At 37.0% G+C, this 15,512-nt stretch overlaps 1 protein-coding gene across 10 annotated transcripts in view; it reads right to left on the reverse strand.

The window, feature by feature from the left end:
- The window catches only part of TMX3 (thioredoxin related transmembrane protein 3), a 41,421-nt gene that overhangs the window by 8,309 nt on the left and 17,600 nt on the right, over nucleotides 1–15,512 (reverse strand). For 6 of the 10 annotated variants that reach the window (XR_935227.3, NM_001350516.2, NM_001350515.2 and 3 more), the window contains 6 exons: nucleotides 15,230–15,307; nucleotides 9,299–9,365; nucleotides 5,671–5,769; nucleotides 2,432–2,489; nucleotides 2,194–2,247; nucleotides 929–985 (listed from right to left, as the gene is read on the reverse strand). Coding sequence is in view for 9 of the 10 variants with exons in the window: in NM_001350516.2 (NP_001337445.1) it covers nucleotides 929–985; nucleotides 2,194–2,247; nucleotides 2,432–2,489; nucleotides 5,671–5,769; nucleotides 9,299–9,365; nucleotides 15,230–15,307 (413 nt within the window). In the remaining variant the exon portion in view is untranslated. Of the gene's footprint in view, nucleotides 1–928; nucleotides 986–2,193; nucleotides 2,248–2,431; nucleotides 2,490–5,670; nucleotides 5,770–5,886; nucleotides 7,986–9,021; nucleotides 9,366–14,939; nucleotides 15,308–15,512 lie in introns of those variants that run through there. The other 4 variants (XM_011526034.4, XM_011526035.4, NM_001350513.2 and 1 more) reach the window with 4 other exon arrangements.

Raw genomic sequence — 15,512 nt, forward strand, 5'->3', positions numbered from 1 at the left:
GCCTCTTCCGGAAAATGTTTCCTGAGCCCTTCCACCTTAGTGTGCACTGGGTGCAGGTGGCGGGGTGGGGAAGGTGAGGATGGGAAAGTATCTCTCTCCCAGCCCTGTCCTACATAGATCTTTTCATACAGTTCTGTAACTAACATCTGTGGTCTTATCCAGTGGACTGTAAGCATTTAAAGAAAGGGACTCTATTCATTTTTCCATCAACGGTGTCTAATATAGTGTACAACATACAGTAAATACTCACTAAATGTTCACTGAATAGAGTGGCTTCTTGTTTCACATTTATTAATTCAGTACAGGGTTTGGTAAATGTTTTCTAATATCAGTCTTGTGAAGTGGCAAATTAAATCTCTACATCATAATTTTAGATAAAAATTATTTTAAAACTACATATTTTCCTACAAATTTAGTCTACTCAAATAAATTCTAGAACAATTCGTTTTTGAATGCTAAACATTTTCTATGTAATAGTCTTTATATAAATTTTAAACAGATAAAAATTTTAAAATTGCATATTTTCTTACAAAGTTAGTCTATCCAATTCTAGAACAATTAGTTTTTGAATGCTAAACATTTTCTATTTAATAGTTATATTGCCCATTAAAACAGAACTTCTCAAGGTATGCATTAAGTAGAAGCCATGAAATTTACACGTTTTGGAATAATGGCTTTTCAGAATACTAGAAAACATTAAATCAGGAGATAATTTTTTTTTTTTTTTACTATAGACCAATATTAAAGTCAGTTAAGTTCCAAATACAGAATTGGAAAACTAAAGTAAAATATTTAATGGGAGAATATCTGCATCTGAATATGTCAACTGTTTGCTATTTTTCAGCTATTTAATCCTTCTACCTGTATCTCAGAAACAAATTTAAAAATTAATAGATTTGACAGCAAAATCATTCAGCACTTTACTTACTCCATCAGCAAGGTATTTATGTAGTCATTTCCATCCATGTGGCCAAACTGAAAATCCCTAACCACCACCAACCAAAAATAAATAAATAAAAGGAGAGGGGGTGGGGGGAGAGAGAGAGAGAAAGCTCATTAAATAGTAAAAAAGTAAATAAAACAATGAAGTTAAATTCAGGCCTCAGTAGGCCCAGAAACTGTAAACATTTCACATGTAAATCATATACAATAAACACTGCTAAAAGTGTAAATTCTACTGGCTTCTGAGATACAAATACACGAGTAGAGGAAATTCTAAGACATTTCTACTTGGTTTATGCATATTTAAAATTCAGGGAAATATCAGCTATTCTACCTGAAATATGTTTAAGAAAAATTCCTATTTTCTCTAAAAAAAGGAATAATCAGAAGACGCTACATACTATGTAAGAAAACTATACAATGACCCATCATTAGAAGATTCAGAATAGGAAAGAAATAATAATTCACTAATAAAATATATTTATATTGACTGTCTTTTTTTATGATAGCAACAATGATTCAGCATAAAGTAAAAATATATGTATTTCCGATGCCATTTTTTATTCAGTTATTCTTTTGAGTTTCTGTTAGAATAATTATCTGCCTATCTCTGACTTCTGATCAGTCATTTATGTCCAATTATAAGTACATGTGCATATTTTATTTACATAAAACGCATCTCAAATCCTATCAAGAAGCAGGTATGATACAAATTATAGATCAAAGTATCTCTTTTTTTAGCTTGCAGGACATACCATCAATGAATTTCAAGATCCAGACAATTCACGCTAAAATGCAATGTGCTATACAGTAGTCCCCCCTTATCCATAGATTCACTTTCTGTGGTTTCAGTTCCCCATGGTCAACCATGGTCTGAAAATATTAAATGAAAAATTCCAAAAATAAACATATACATAATTTTTACTATACTGTATTGTTATAATTGTTCTATTTTATTATTAATTACTGTTGTTGATCTCTTACTGTACCTAATGTATAAATTAAACTTTATCATAAGTATGTAGGTACAGACAAAATTATAGTATATGTAGCATTCCATTCTATGCTAAGTTTCAGTCACCCACTGGGGGTCTTGGAATGTATCTCCTGTGGATAAGCGAGGATTACTGTTATTTAACTTCATTTCTTTGATTCACCTCTAAAAGCATGAATACTACTAAGTTTGCTTTACTAAATTACAAAATGGTATTAAACAAAAATAAAGGAATCTCTCAGAATATAAGCACCTACCTATGGAAGAGGTCTCTGTAATCTCTTGCAACTTCCTGAATAATTGACTTCAATCTGTAGAAGAACAAACATATGAATAGTTCATCTCTGCACTTGAAAAACATAATTTTTCAATGATAGTATCTGCTGTCTTACATCTAATTGCTGCAGGAAAAGTAAGATACCATATCAAGTCTATCTAAAGCCATATAGTCTGAAATGAACATTTGAAGCTTAAAACTATATCAAGGCATTATACCTGGTATGTTCAACTGATGTATTTTTCTCATCAATAACTGCAAGAGCCACAAGCTTTCCTGAAATAAAGAATGACACATCTGAATTCAATCACCCTTATTACACAAACTGTTCAATTATCACTTTAGTTCTGAGTAGGAAATTAGTAAAGTATTTCTAGAATTTAATTCCAATCACCCTACATGTTATATCAAATTAAATCAACACATTACGGTATATGTTTGTAGAGTCAATCAGTGAATTAGTCAACTCCAGTGACAAATTCCCTTCCACGTCCCACCCCAAAATATAAATAAGAGTAAATATGTAATAATTTATACACTTAAATAGTATTTTTTATACCAACTTACAAGCTTGAATTGTATTTTTTCCTTACACCCTACAAATTGGCTAAGATAACTATTTTTTCAAAGGCTAAAAGCACAGGAAATAAGTTGATTAAAAGCAAGTTTGCTAAGAATTACTGTAGCTCTAAAACAATGGTCTAGAAGAATAAGAAAATGGTTTTTACATGGCCGTTGACTTTGGTACCATGGTTCAGTACTTGCCAGTTATAATATGCAGAATTAAACTGACTCACATTTACTTAACCCTAAATACAACATAAAGCATATGTATCCTGATATCTTCTAGGAAGCTGGCATGATGTAATAACCAGAAGAGTGGTGTTAGAATCAGAACGCCAAACACTGCCATCAAGCAGTGTCTATCATGTTCTAGGCACCATACCAAGCCACAGGGGAACAGGGAAGTGCCTCAGTAAACTTCAACTTATTTCCAAAAACTAATATATATTTCATAGAGTTATTGGGAGAGTTAAGTAAGATTAGATGCCCAGAAATATGGGCATAAACCTGGCTCAGAGCAGGTACATACATGTAGGATTAAATCCATAATCTTTCAGTATTATCCCTGCATTTTAATGCTGCTTCTAATTCCATACTGCTTAAACACCTGTCTAAATTCTACACAACCTTCAGTCTTCTAACTCTCTGATGAAAACAGTTCACAATGACATCTACCTTCCTGAAATATCTCGTTTGCTATTCTTTTTTTGTATTATATGCTTCTTTAATTTTCAAATGGTTCGTGAGTTTTTTTCAAAATGTCTACAACATGCAGAGCATTCTCCCATAGACCAACAGGATTCTGAGAAACACAGACACAGTTTCTCACATTTATTAATTCAACAATTATTGAGTGTCAAATAATGTACCACACACTGGGCTGGTTCCGAGGACATGGTGATGAGCAAACACAGACAAGGCTCTGCGCTTGTGAAAGCACAACACAATAGAACTGGTAGACATTTTCATCAAATAAATGTCCCATTAAAAATAAGAATATGCTGCTATAAAAAAAATTACAGCATAAATTAATGTAGTCTGACGAGGTCAGTGAAGATTTTCCTAAGGAAGCAGTATTTGGTCTGAGTTTGATGGATGAATACGAATTAACTGAGTATTTCCAAGCAAAGAAAAAAGTATGTAAAAACGTGCTTTGGTGCAATTGGCATAGCCTTTTCAAGAAACTGGTATCAAGCAAACTTGGGTAAAAATGATAAAATAATAGTAATAACAATAAAAGAAACTAAAAGGTTAGTGTGGCTCAAGAAGGAAGAGTGTGAGGCTAGAGTGAAATGAGGCTGGAGGTGTAGGCAAGAGTTAGAACTTCTGAGAAAAGACATGAGGTGTCTGAAGCCGCACAGCGTCAGGAGGCTGCTATGGTGCTAGCATCAGGGGACAGGTGGGGGTGAAGGGCAGGGGCACGACCACAGCTGATGCCTAACAGGGGCAATTATGTCAGACACATAAAATAACACTGCCACAGCACACTTCTGTTTCCAAATTCATCTGGGAAAAGATGTGTTCAGTTGAGCCAAAGCCACCTGTTTTAATCACCTCAAGGTCATGCTATTTCCTATGATTACTATACAAAGCAAGACTACTATATTCCTACATTTCCCCCTCTTCCTTTCATGTGAGTCTGAAAGAATCAAAAAGTCTGGGCACGGTGGCTCACGCCTATAATCCCAGCACTTTAGGAGGCCAAGGCGTGCGGATCACGAGGTCAGGAGATCGAGCCCATCCTGGCCAACATGGTGAAACCCCGTCTCTGCTAAGAATACAAAAATTTGCTGGATGTGGTGGCGCATGCTGATTCCCAGCTACTTGGGAGGCTGAGGCAGGAGAACTGCTTGAACCAGGGAGGTGGAGGTTGCAGTGAGCCAAGATCACGTCACTGCACTCCAGCCTGGCGACAGAGAGAGACTCCATCTCAAAAAAAAAAAAATCAGAAAGTAAAACCACAGTCTTTGACACTGTCCCCGGCAACTTCCAATAATGAGCTAATACACAGCTCCTTCTGTAAAGATAAGCAAAGGCAGAAATATCACTAGACACAGAACATTAAAAGCAAGCTCAGGAACAGAACAGAAATATCCCCCAAAACGTTACAAACAGGAGAACATGTAAGAATGTCTCTAATTTTTATTAATTAGATTTAAGAGTAGGCAATCATGAAGAGGAAACCCTATGCCTATTACTTACATTAAAAAAAAATAAGTCTTGAATAAAATGTTCTCATTGTTTTACTCAAAAGCTATACTTCCATCCTACTTATCATAAAGCTATTAATGGAAACAAATGTGGCACCAATAACCAATATTTCTCATTTCTAATTTGCTATAAATTTATAAAACACTTTCTCCTAAAACTTACAGTTAGCTTCTTATTTTTATAGTTTGCATCTGAGACCATATAATCGGCTTCTTACAGCTTTCATTTTTGTATTCGTGTTTGTGTTTGCGTTGCCTGTCATTTCCAACAGCGTAACTTGAAGAAACCATGCCAATTTAACTTACATTTTTCCCTTTCACAGGTAAAAGCAGGCCTTATAAATAGGTTGTGCTAAGTTTTATTTTAACTCCTATTACAAAATCAGTTCTGAGTACAGCTTCTTAGTTGGTTATTTTTCTCACTCTCTTATTACCCAGGCTTTTTGTTTTCCTTATCACCATCAGTTCTATTAGTAAACCATCTCTTTAATCACTGACCCACATGCAAAGGTATATCTTCTGGTAATATCAGTTTACATTCTCGTAAAGAACTGGCATTCAGATCTAAAATAAAAAATTAAGTTGAGAAATAGAGCTTAAATTCATTTCCTACAAAATAAGATTTTTAAATAATCAAAGAAAAATCATGTAACATAATGGAGACTTGTACATATGCTTGTTACCTGTGTCTCCAAGTTCATACAAGAGGAAGCCATCCATAGCAAGGTAATTCTGAAACCTTTCCCTGTTGATCCATGATGACAGATCACCATCTTCATACTCTTAAAACCAAGACAAAGTTGACAAATTACAGTATAAATATGAATTTAAGAGTTATAATAGCTTTAATCTGATAATAGGTATAAAACGCCTGACAGAGAATCATACTTCCATAAATATTGTTTTTAGGAATTTATTGCAAGCATACAATCAAATGTACAGAAGGATTAATGCACAAAGCAATCTTCATTATAGCATCATTAAAAATAGCATAAAAATAATTAAAAATAAAGGAAATAATCAAAATATCCTAAATTGGAAATAATTTAAATAAATTTTGGTATATGTCGATAAAGATCATTTATAAATTTTCAAAAAAACTTATAATTGAACAGATTACAAAACAATACAGGTTACAATACAATACATAACAGCATAACTGTAACTTCGTAAAAGAAAGTATGAAAAGATAAACTCATAGAATGATAAAATGAAGTCAGTTATTCCTAAATGGTTTCCCTGAATCAATGGTTATACTTGGGTCATGGCACTACAGGTAATTTTTATTACAATTTCTTTGCTCTCCTCTCTTTATGATAGTCTTCCTAGTTTACAACTCTTTCTCAAAGGTACAACTAACACAAACACATATAAAATCATAGTACCTTAGCTTTTTTCCAATATAAAATAATTCCTCTGCTAAGCAGATAGAAAATATAATATCTAAGAGAAATATTACATCCTAATTAGAAATGTAATTCTCAAGTAATTGTTCAAAATTATTACAATTGCATAAAAAAGGTGGTGATGTAAAGCAAATGTCTATAAAAGCCTACCAATACATCTGGTTGAAGAATGGATTTTAATGACCTCTTCAAAGGTATGCTTTTTCTTGCATTGCTAAACAAAACATTTTCAAGTTATCAAACCCATAAAATAAGTGATGCAATGCAAATCTCAAAGAATTTATTGATTTAAATTTATAAATTAGGAAAATAAACATAAAACTAGAAATTGATTACTGGGCCACAATGTCCACTGCATGCTAAAAGCAAATTTTCTACGAGATTGCATACAGTGATCAATTTGAATTTCATTCGAAAATAAACTATCCCAAATATCGCAAGTTCTCATTTATAAGTGGGCGGTAAACATTGGGTACATACGGACATAAAGATGGGAATAACAGACACTAGGGAGATGGGGAGGAGGACAAGGGCTAAAAAAACTACCTGTTGGGTACTATGCTTATTACCTGGGTGACGGGATCATTTGTACCCCAAACCTCAGCATCATCCAATACACCCATGTAACAAACCTGCACATGTAGACTCTGAATCTAAAATAAAAGCTGAAATTATATATGTAAGAAAGGAAATATACTCCCAAGTCCCTATTCCAATGCTTCTAAACATTAGCAACAATTAAATATTTAAATAAGGATTCAAAGTAAAGCCTTTGCTTTGTCTGAATGTTTCAGGCAGGTTCTAAATACTACTGCAGGTTAGAGAAATGGGGCCTTTACAATACCTACAGAAACTTAACATATCATATTCCTGTCTTCCTTAAGCGTGGGAGAATGTATCTGAAACACTGAGCTATAACAGGGGGATGCTTTCCTAGGCAGGCTCAAAAACCTGATATCTGTTTATATTTAAATATGTTTATATTTAAACAGATATGATCAGTGTTTTTTTTTTTTTAAAGGAAGAAACAAAGTGCCTCTCTGAATTGCTAAGAAACACATAGTGGAATAAGAACATGAGATTTGAAGACTGAATTTTGATATCATTGATTATTTTATCGTGGAAAAAAAATCTCTTTAATCCTGTTTCTTTATCTGTAAAATGGTAAGAATAGTGATTTTAAGGGAATGTTGTAATGATCAAATATAAGATCACATACATTAAGTACTTATTATATGAGGAGTACTGCAAGCAAAGAGCAGGTGAATAGACTAGGTGTGGCTACAAATTATTTTCCTTCTCATATTTTCAAATACACAAGTTTCTCTGAAGTTCTTTTATAAGCCCAACGTCTAATACAGACATTCAATAAACATCCAATTAATGGATGGCTGAATAAGCATATGATAAACCTGCTATTTAATTACACACCTGTCTCCTTATCTAACATTCTTAGCTATATCCTTTGTAATCCTGGGGTATTAATCTATCTGCCTTATTACCTACCTCACAGATTACTTTGTAAATAAAATGAAAATGTCAAGTATGTAGATAGTACCTTTTATATGACAGCATAAGTGTGTAGTTATTATCTATAGAAACAAATAAAATTCAGCTCTCACATTTATTTAAAGACAATAAAAATCAGAAATGTAGTCTTATGACTGTCAAAACAATTAAAATGCTACTTATAATAAAACAAATTGTTCCTTTTTATTGAAAAGTCTTCTACTCATTTGAATTATTTCAGCAATTAAAACTCTACTGCTCTCATCTAGTCCTAGGTTCCTTTCTGTCACATAGAATTCAGTAAGAAAAACACATTCTAGAATATTTCTGAATGAATGGGTGTTCCCTATCTGGCCTCCAACATGGTAACCACAAGCCACAGGAGCCCACCGAGCACTGAAACACAGTTCGTGAGAACAAGAAATTGAACTTTAAATTTTATTGAATTAGAATTTAGAATGTTAGCAGGAATGCTATCAGCTGAGTCTGCATTCACTTTTGCTTTTGAGTGGCTTTGTGGTGGCCTACAGATGTCGAGTTTCACTGCTTCCCTTGAAATTTAAAATATCCCCTGTAGCCCCTGTGAGTTTGCTGCACTGCCCTAGGTCAGAGCACGGTTTGGAAAACACGAAAGTAGGTATTTCAAAATACCAAGGAATGATGTCAGTTGTTGTAGCTGCATGTGGTTTATCTAAAAATAAAAAGTCTACATTTTGTAAAGAGATGCGTAATATAAAGCACATGGTGATGAAATGCCATTACAATTTGCTTTAAAGTACTTCAGCAAATTGAAAGTTGAAGTTGGAGCAAATGTCATGATGGGCAAAGATCTTCGTAAGTGTTTAACTTCGGTGATGGGTATGTAGGGCTTTACCATTCTCTTTACTACGATGTATGTTTGATATTACAATTACAATATTTTAAAAACAGACCAAGCATTATGCGTCAATGAAGAAATGCTGAATAGCAGGTAAGCAGTCATTTCTAACAGCTAAGGGGAAATGCCATTAGGGAGGGATACACAGGGGCTTCAACACTATTGAACACGTGTTATTTCTTCAAGTCTTTTTCTGTATCTGAAATGTTACTTCAAAAAAATGAATTCTGAACATTTTAAAGTAATGTATAAAAATCACATAGAATTTATTCCTCAAAAACGCATATAATTTAACAAACAACAACAAAAAGAATGTTGTGTAGGTAAAGCTCAGAATAAAAATAACTAACAATTATAAGTTGAAGGGTGAAAAAAAACCCAAAACATCAGGCATTCAAGTCATGAGAACTGTTATTCTCATTGAACAGTAGAAGCATTTACATAATCTTTACACCTAAGTTGTATAACAGACATTTTAATTTTAAAATGTTTTACATGAGTTAAAGATTTGGAACTTACCATCATAAACAAAGTAAGTTTCATCTTTGAAAACAAGCACAGCTGGCATCTCTTTTAGTGTCACATACTGCAAAAAATCAGAAGTTTAAATAACTTTTATCACTAAAAAATTCTAATTAGTAACTATAATTTCAAAAGTCTTGAGATACCAGAAAACTCAAACACACATAAAAATAACAAAAAAGAATGTCACAAACAGTTAAAGAGTACAGTCAATCCCAAACTCATCCAAGAAGTATATCTGAATCTTTTTATATATCCCCTTGTACAATGTCCTGTTTGCTATAGTAAAAACCATGGATTATTCTTACCTGATAACAGACTTAAACATCAACCAGCCTATTCAGGTTTAAGTCCTTCCCCACCACTCACTGGCTGTGTGATAATGAGCCACTTTACCTAGGGGAGTCTGCTTCCTCATCTGTGGAATAAAGACACTGAGACTGCCTATCTCACAGAACAATTAGGAGAGTTATGTCAGATACCATAACTGAGAGCACTGCTTAAACTGTAAACTGCTTTATAAGCCACTTACAGTAGTAATAAGGGATCATTCAGAAAGTACCAGCTGCTTATAGCTGAGCTGTACTTACTTTGAGAGAAAAATTATACTAGAAAACAAATATCAGAAGACAAATAATTTGAGTAAGCCACAAAGAATTATTACATGAGCATGTTAATACTGAAAATAATGACAAATAAGTAAATGAGTAGATAATGAAGTAAAATAACAATAAAATAAAGACAGTTATCCTGGAAAAATTAAAAAGGGAGGGAGGCACATCTCAGGGGAGAGAAAATAATACAGAATTATTTGGTTACATTACTATTAAAAAATGATATAGCACTATGAAAATAACAATTTTAAGGGCAGTGCAAGAGCTCTTAGGTAAGGCTCTAATCAAGCATGCTCCATTCACCTGCTCTTGGCAACTCATCCACACAGATGCTTGGGAAGTATTTTTCAACATTCAGCACCTCCCTCTTTCATCAATATCCCTGAATAGTTCTTACTAGAACACAAATGATACAGTCTCAAATCTTGCAGCCATCTAGTCTCACATATTCTGAAGCTCTCTTCCTCTCCCGTGTGTTTTTTTCAACCATCTTCTATTACTGTTACAGTCTGCATGTCAATCTCCTTCATTCATCTGTAACTATTCTGAAGTCAGAAATTGTCTGAATTCATCCTTGTACCCCCTTACTGCATCTCCTGGGGTTTTCATAAATACCCGTTGTAAAGCTAATGAAGCTCTGAAGGACAAACATTAATATTCAAAATATGGGAAGACCACAAAATTATGGGCTTTGCACTTATTTGAGAATCATCTATGGGAGTAAAACTCCTCATATTATTGTGAAGTAACTATTATTTCCCCTAGCAGACTTTTCCAAATACATCCTTAAAACTAAAAAAGAGAGATGACAAATATTACTATTTTCAGGAATAAAGAATGCCTAAACAAACTAGCTGAGAAGCCCAATTAAAAAAATAATAGAAGTAATACACAAATACTAAATATGCTCATGTAACAGATGCTACATATATGCCCACCCAGGCCCTCTGGGTTCTAGGGATTTTGGCCTAAGACACCCCCATTGTTATATGAGGATTAAGATGGTGTCAAATGGTGCCAGCACCTAGAACACAGCAAACCCTCTGGTGCACTCCAAGTGCCAACTGCTTGCAAAGCTTTGTAGATGAGGGCTTAGCATAAATTCTCATCTCTGATACAAAAATGTGGCTCACTGGACTTGGGAGACAAAAATGTATAAGAAGTTCAGATTCTAGTCCATTTTAATCCTTTATGTTACATTAAGGCAATCCAGAAAAACCTTTTGGGAATGCTGTCAGAGACTCTGATGGCAAGTGTGGCCTCTTTTTCTCATCTTACTCATGGCAGTGGCAGCCCGTCTGGAGCAGCTGCTGCGCGAATGCCAGCTGCAGCAGGGGAGGCGCAGCAGGGACTGCACGCTCCGTGGAGCCAGCGGGGGCCGGGAACAAGCGGGAGAGTCCTACCTGCTACCAAGTTCGTGGGGTGGGAGCCCCACGCTCCCGGGTATAGCTGAAGCTGCTCAGGAGTGGTTCTGGACCCTGGCATCCCTGAGCTCTCCGGGGCCTGGAAAGCAGCCACCCCCACCCCCCAACCCCTGCAGGTTCACAAATGCCTGCTCCTGCTCCCTGGACTCTCCCTGCTCCTGGCGCCTGCTCTGATTTTGAAGCAAAGTTGTGGCCGAGCCTGAGTGTTGTCGCAACTTAGCCGGGTGTGTGTGTGTGCTTGGCGCGGCGCTGACGTGCCAGCTCCCAACAGTGCCTGGGCTTCCTCCAGACTTTGGACATTGACAAGCGTGGGAGGGAGGCTGGCTCCTCGGCATGAACAGCCTGGGTGCCATAGACGGTATGATGATGACGGCGGGAGTCAGACAGGTTCCTAGGCAGGAAGGGGTGGGTCCCCAGTAAAACCCCAACTTCAGGCCAGGGAAGGCCTGAAGCCTGGGGGCCAGGCTACTAGTTCTGGGTGAAGTCCACGGCCTGGAGTAAGAACTTCACTGATGACCATTCAGCCAAGTGGATCGTGCCTTTTCCAGGCCTGACTGTGGCCACCCATGGACCATTCAGCATGCACTTCCTCGATTCTGAGCACGTAAAAACCCCAGACTAAGCGAAACACAGACTTGTCCGGATGACCTGCCTGTGGAAAGGAGCTACCTACTCGGGTCTCCTAAGAGCTATTCTGTTGCTCAATGAAGCTCCTCTCCACCTTGCTCATCCTCCAGTTGTCCATGTACCTCATTCTTCCTGGATGCGGGACAAGAACTTGGGACCCACTGAATGGAGGGACTGAAGGGGCTGTAATGCAAACAGGGCTGAAACATACCCCCCAGTCACCATGTTGCAGGTGACAAGAAGGAGAGAAGAGCTGTAACCCTTCTGGGAACCCAGACTTTGGGGCTCCCCAAGTCAGGGCTGTGACACACTGTAATACCCTCTTCAGGGCTCTGCAGTTCCTGGCGTCTCTGAGCTTTCAGGCACCATTGTGTTCCCCTTGTCTAGATGCTGGTTCTTGCAGTGGAAGCCACTTGCAGTACATCTGGTCCAGCCGCAGCCTCACATGGAGCAGGTGCCTGGAGCTGCCTTCCCCGTGGCAGCCAGCATGCCTGGCTGTGCGCAGTGGCCAGATTCCACGCTTGTTCACTCACATATCCCTTGCTGCTCCATGCCTCGCTCGTCCTTGGCAGGCACAGGATCTGGGCCGGTAGCATGAGCCAAGGGCAGCCTGCCAGGCTGAGTGGGTAGAATAAGCCCAGTGGGCGCAAGCAAAACCCAAGCAGAGGCGCCAGTGGCCACAGAGGTTTCTGGCTGGTGAAACGACACCCTAAGGATCCCGTGACATTAATTTCCCCTCCAAAAGTAAATACATACGCATAAAATACTTGGCAAACCAAAATGGGTTTAAGTTGTCCAGAAACTGAGGTTCCTCCAGGAGTTGAAAATCATTGTGGGGTACATAAGATAAACATCTACATACATATTGCAGGAAGCATTAAACACCTACTTCGGCAAGTCTGTAATCTTAAAATCTTTAAACATTAAATCATGTAAAAGAAATGAAATGTTTCACTTACCTTTGTGAAAAGAAAAATATTTCAATTTTTTTATAATTTATAGATTCAAAAGAAAAAAAAAGAAAAGCTCCCTTCATTTCTTTCATAATTCCCCTGAATTACTGCCAAATTCCTAAGGTCCCCTACTCATTCAAAGTTTCCTAAAGAGAAGACTATACTTGTGGTCTCCACTTTCTTACTTGCCATCAGTGTCTCTCAAACACCAATGAGGTTTTTCTCCCCATTACTCCTCTGAAAACCACCAACAACCTCCATGTGGACACACATTGTGGTTATTTTTCTCTCATTATTTTCTTGATCACTTTGCAAAATTCTCACACAAACTGTTCACTTCTTTTAAAACACTTCGTCTTGGCTTCCAGCTCATCTCTTTTTCCTAATTTACTATTTCTTCTCACTTTCCTTTGCTGACCTCAGGTTCTGGGCCTACTCATTTCCTTAAAAAATTGCTTCCCATGTCTGGGAAGGTTCTTTTACATAGCCTTGACTTAACTCTAGACCCCTATGTCCAACTGCTTATTTGATGCTTATATTTAGATTCCTAATATGACATGCTGAATCAAATTAAAATGAATAATTCAAAGCACTTTTCACCCTCCATATTTTCAACTTCTTCCTTCTCCAAAATTCCTCAAGTTCATCAACCACCACCCTCTACCCAATTGTTCAAACCAAAACATCTAAGAGTCACCCTCAATTCATCCCTATTCTTCCATATCAGCAAGCTCTGACAATTCTATCTTCTAAACACAACAATCCTTTCACTTCTTCCCAACCCTCACTAACCATCAAGCCCAAATTTCTTAGATTACCGCAAAAGTTCAGTTGGTATCTGTGGATCTACGCATACCTATCTAACGCACTCTGCGCTTAGCACAGAGTAATGTCCTTAAACAAGAACATCAATCCATGTTCTTCACCAACTTCAACCTCATCACATGCACTGCCATGACTTACAATGCCTACACTGCCCTCCACCCACTTCCCATCACACTGTAGGCACTACAGTCACATTGGCCTACTGTTTTGTTCCTGCATCATGTCAGGTGTGTTCGCATTTTGGACATCTGTTATCTGTTCGTTTCTGGCGTATTGTATCCACAGATCTTTGCACGGCTCCTTCATATCACGTAAAAGTCTCAGTTCAAGTATTTTCTTGAGACAAACATTTCTTGACCAATCAACCTACAGCACCCATCCCACTCCTATTTGCCCCAACTATTACACAGTTTTTTAATTTTTTAAATTATGATTATTACTATTATCATTTGAGACAGAGTCTCACTCTGTCGCCCAGGCTGGAGTACAGTGGCGCCATCTTGGTTTGATGCAACCTCTGTCTCCTTGGTTCAAGCAATTCTCCTGCCTCAGCCCCCTGAGTAGCTGGGATTACAGGCGTGCGCCACCACACCCAGCTAATTTTTGTATTTTTAGTAGAGATGGAGTTTCAACATGTTGGCCAGGCTGGTCTCAAACTTCTGACCTTGTGATCTGCCTGCCTCGGCCTCCCAAAGTGCTGGGATTACAAGCGTAAGCCACTGGGCCCGGCCTTAATTATTATTACTATTTTTTTGAGACAGAGTCTCACTCTGTCACCCAGACTGGAGTGCAGTCGTGCAATCTTGTCTCACTGCAGCCTCTGCCTCCCAGGTTCAAGTGATTCTCCTGCCTCAGCCTCCCGAGTAACTAGGAGTACAGGCACGTGCCACCATGCCTGGCTAGTTTTTGTATTTTTAGTAGAGATAGGATTTCACCATGTTGGCCAAGCTGGTCTCGAATTCCTGACCTCGGGTGATCTACCTGTCTAGGCCTCCCAAAGTGCTGGGATTACAGGCATGAGGCACTGCGCCTGGCCTTTAATTTGTTTTTTCATAGCACTTATGATATCCTGTTTATTGATTTGTTTACTGAGGACTACTATCTCAGTTTGAGGACCCAAAAAAGACTGTATCTGCAACACACACACACACACACACACATACGCACGCAAAATAATCCACCACTTGTAAGCCAATTTAGGAGTTTGAGGTATCACTTGTCATCACTACTTTTATTTTAAAAAACAAGAAGCACTAATGTAAATCCCTAAATGCTACGAATCTGATGGTATTTATTAATAAAAAGCAATCTAATACCAGTAGTAAAGAATCAGCATGTTTACTTTTTCCAAACATATCACAGTAAATAAATCTGATATTAAAATCAATAATTTAATCAAGTAATAAAATCACAATTTAGTTTATTAAATCAAGTAATAATTTAATAAATAAAATTGTGTCGTTAAAATCAAATTTTAAATATTACCTCAGGAACCACTTCTTCTGAGGCAGAAAAGAAGTATGTATATACAATCAATTCTGAAGCAGCATCTATGTATTTCTCCTATGAAGATACAAACAGAAAAAAGATCATTGAAAAATATTAAAGGCCAAAATTCATTCCTCATTAAACAATGAGAGTTACCTTATGTAGTAAGAGTCATCACCTTAATGTGCTACCTTACATCCTCTTAGGTGAAGAGAAGAAATGTAAGCAAATAAAATTGTTTCCAAGGCAAAGGCCAACGTAATTAAGAGCTTTTATCTTT

The sequence above is a fragment of the Homo sapiens genome, chromosome 18 (genome assembly GCF_000001405.40).
Source record: "Homo sapiens chromosome 18, GRCh38.p14 Primary Assembly".
Classification (NCBI taxonomy): Eukaryota; Metazoa; Chordata; class Mammalia; order Primates; family Hominidae; genus Homo; species Homo sapiens.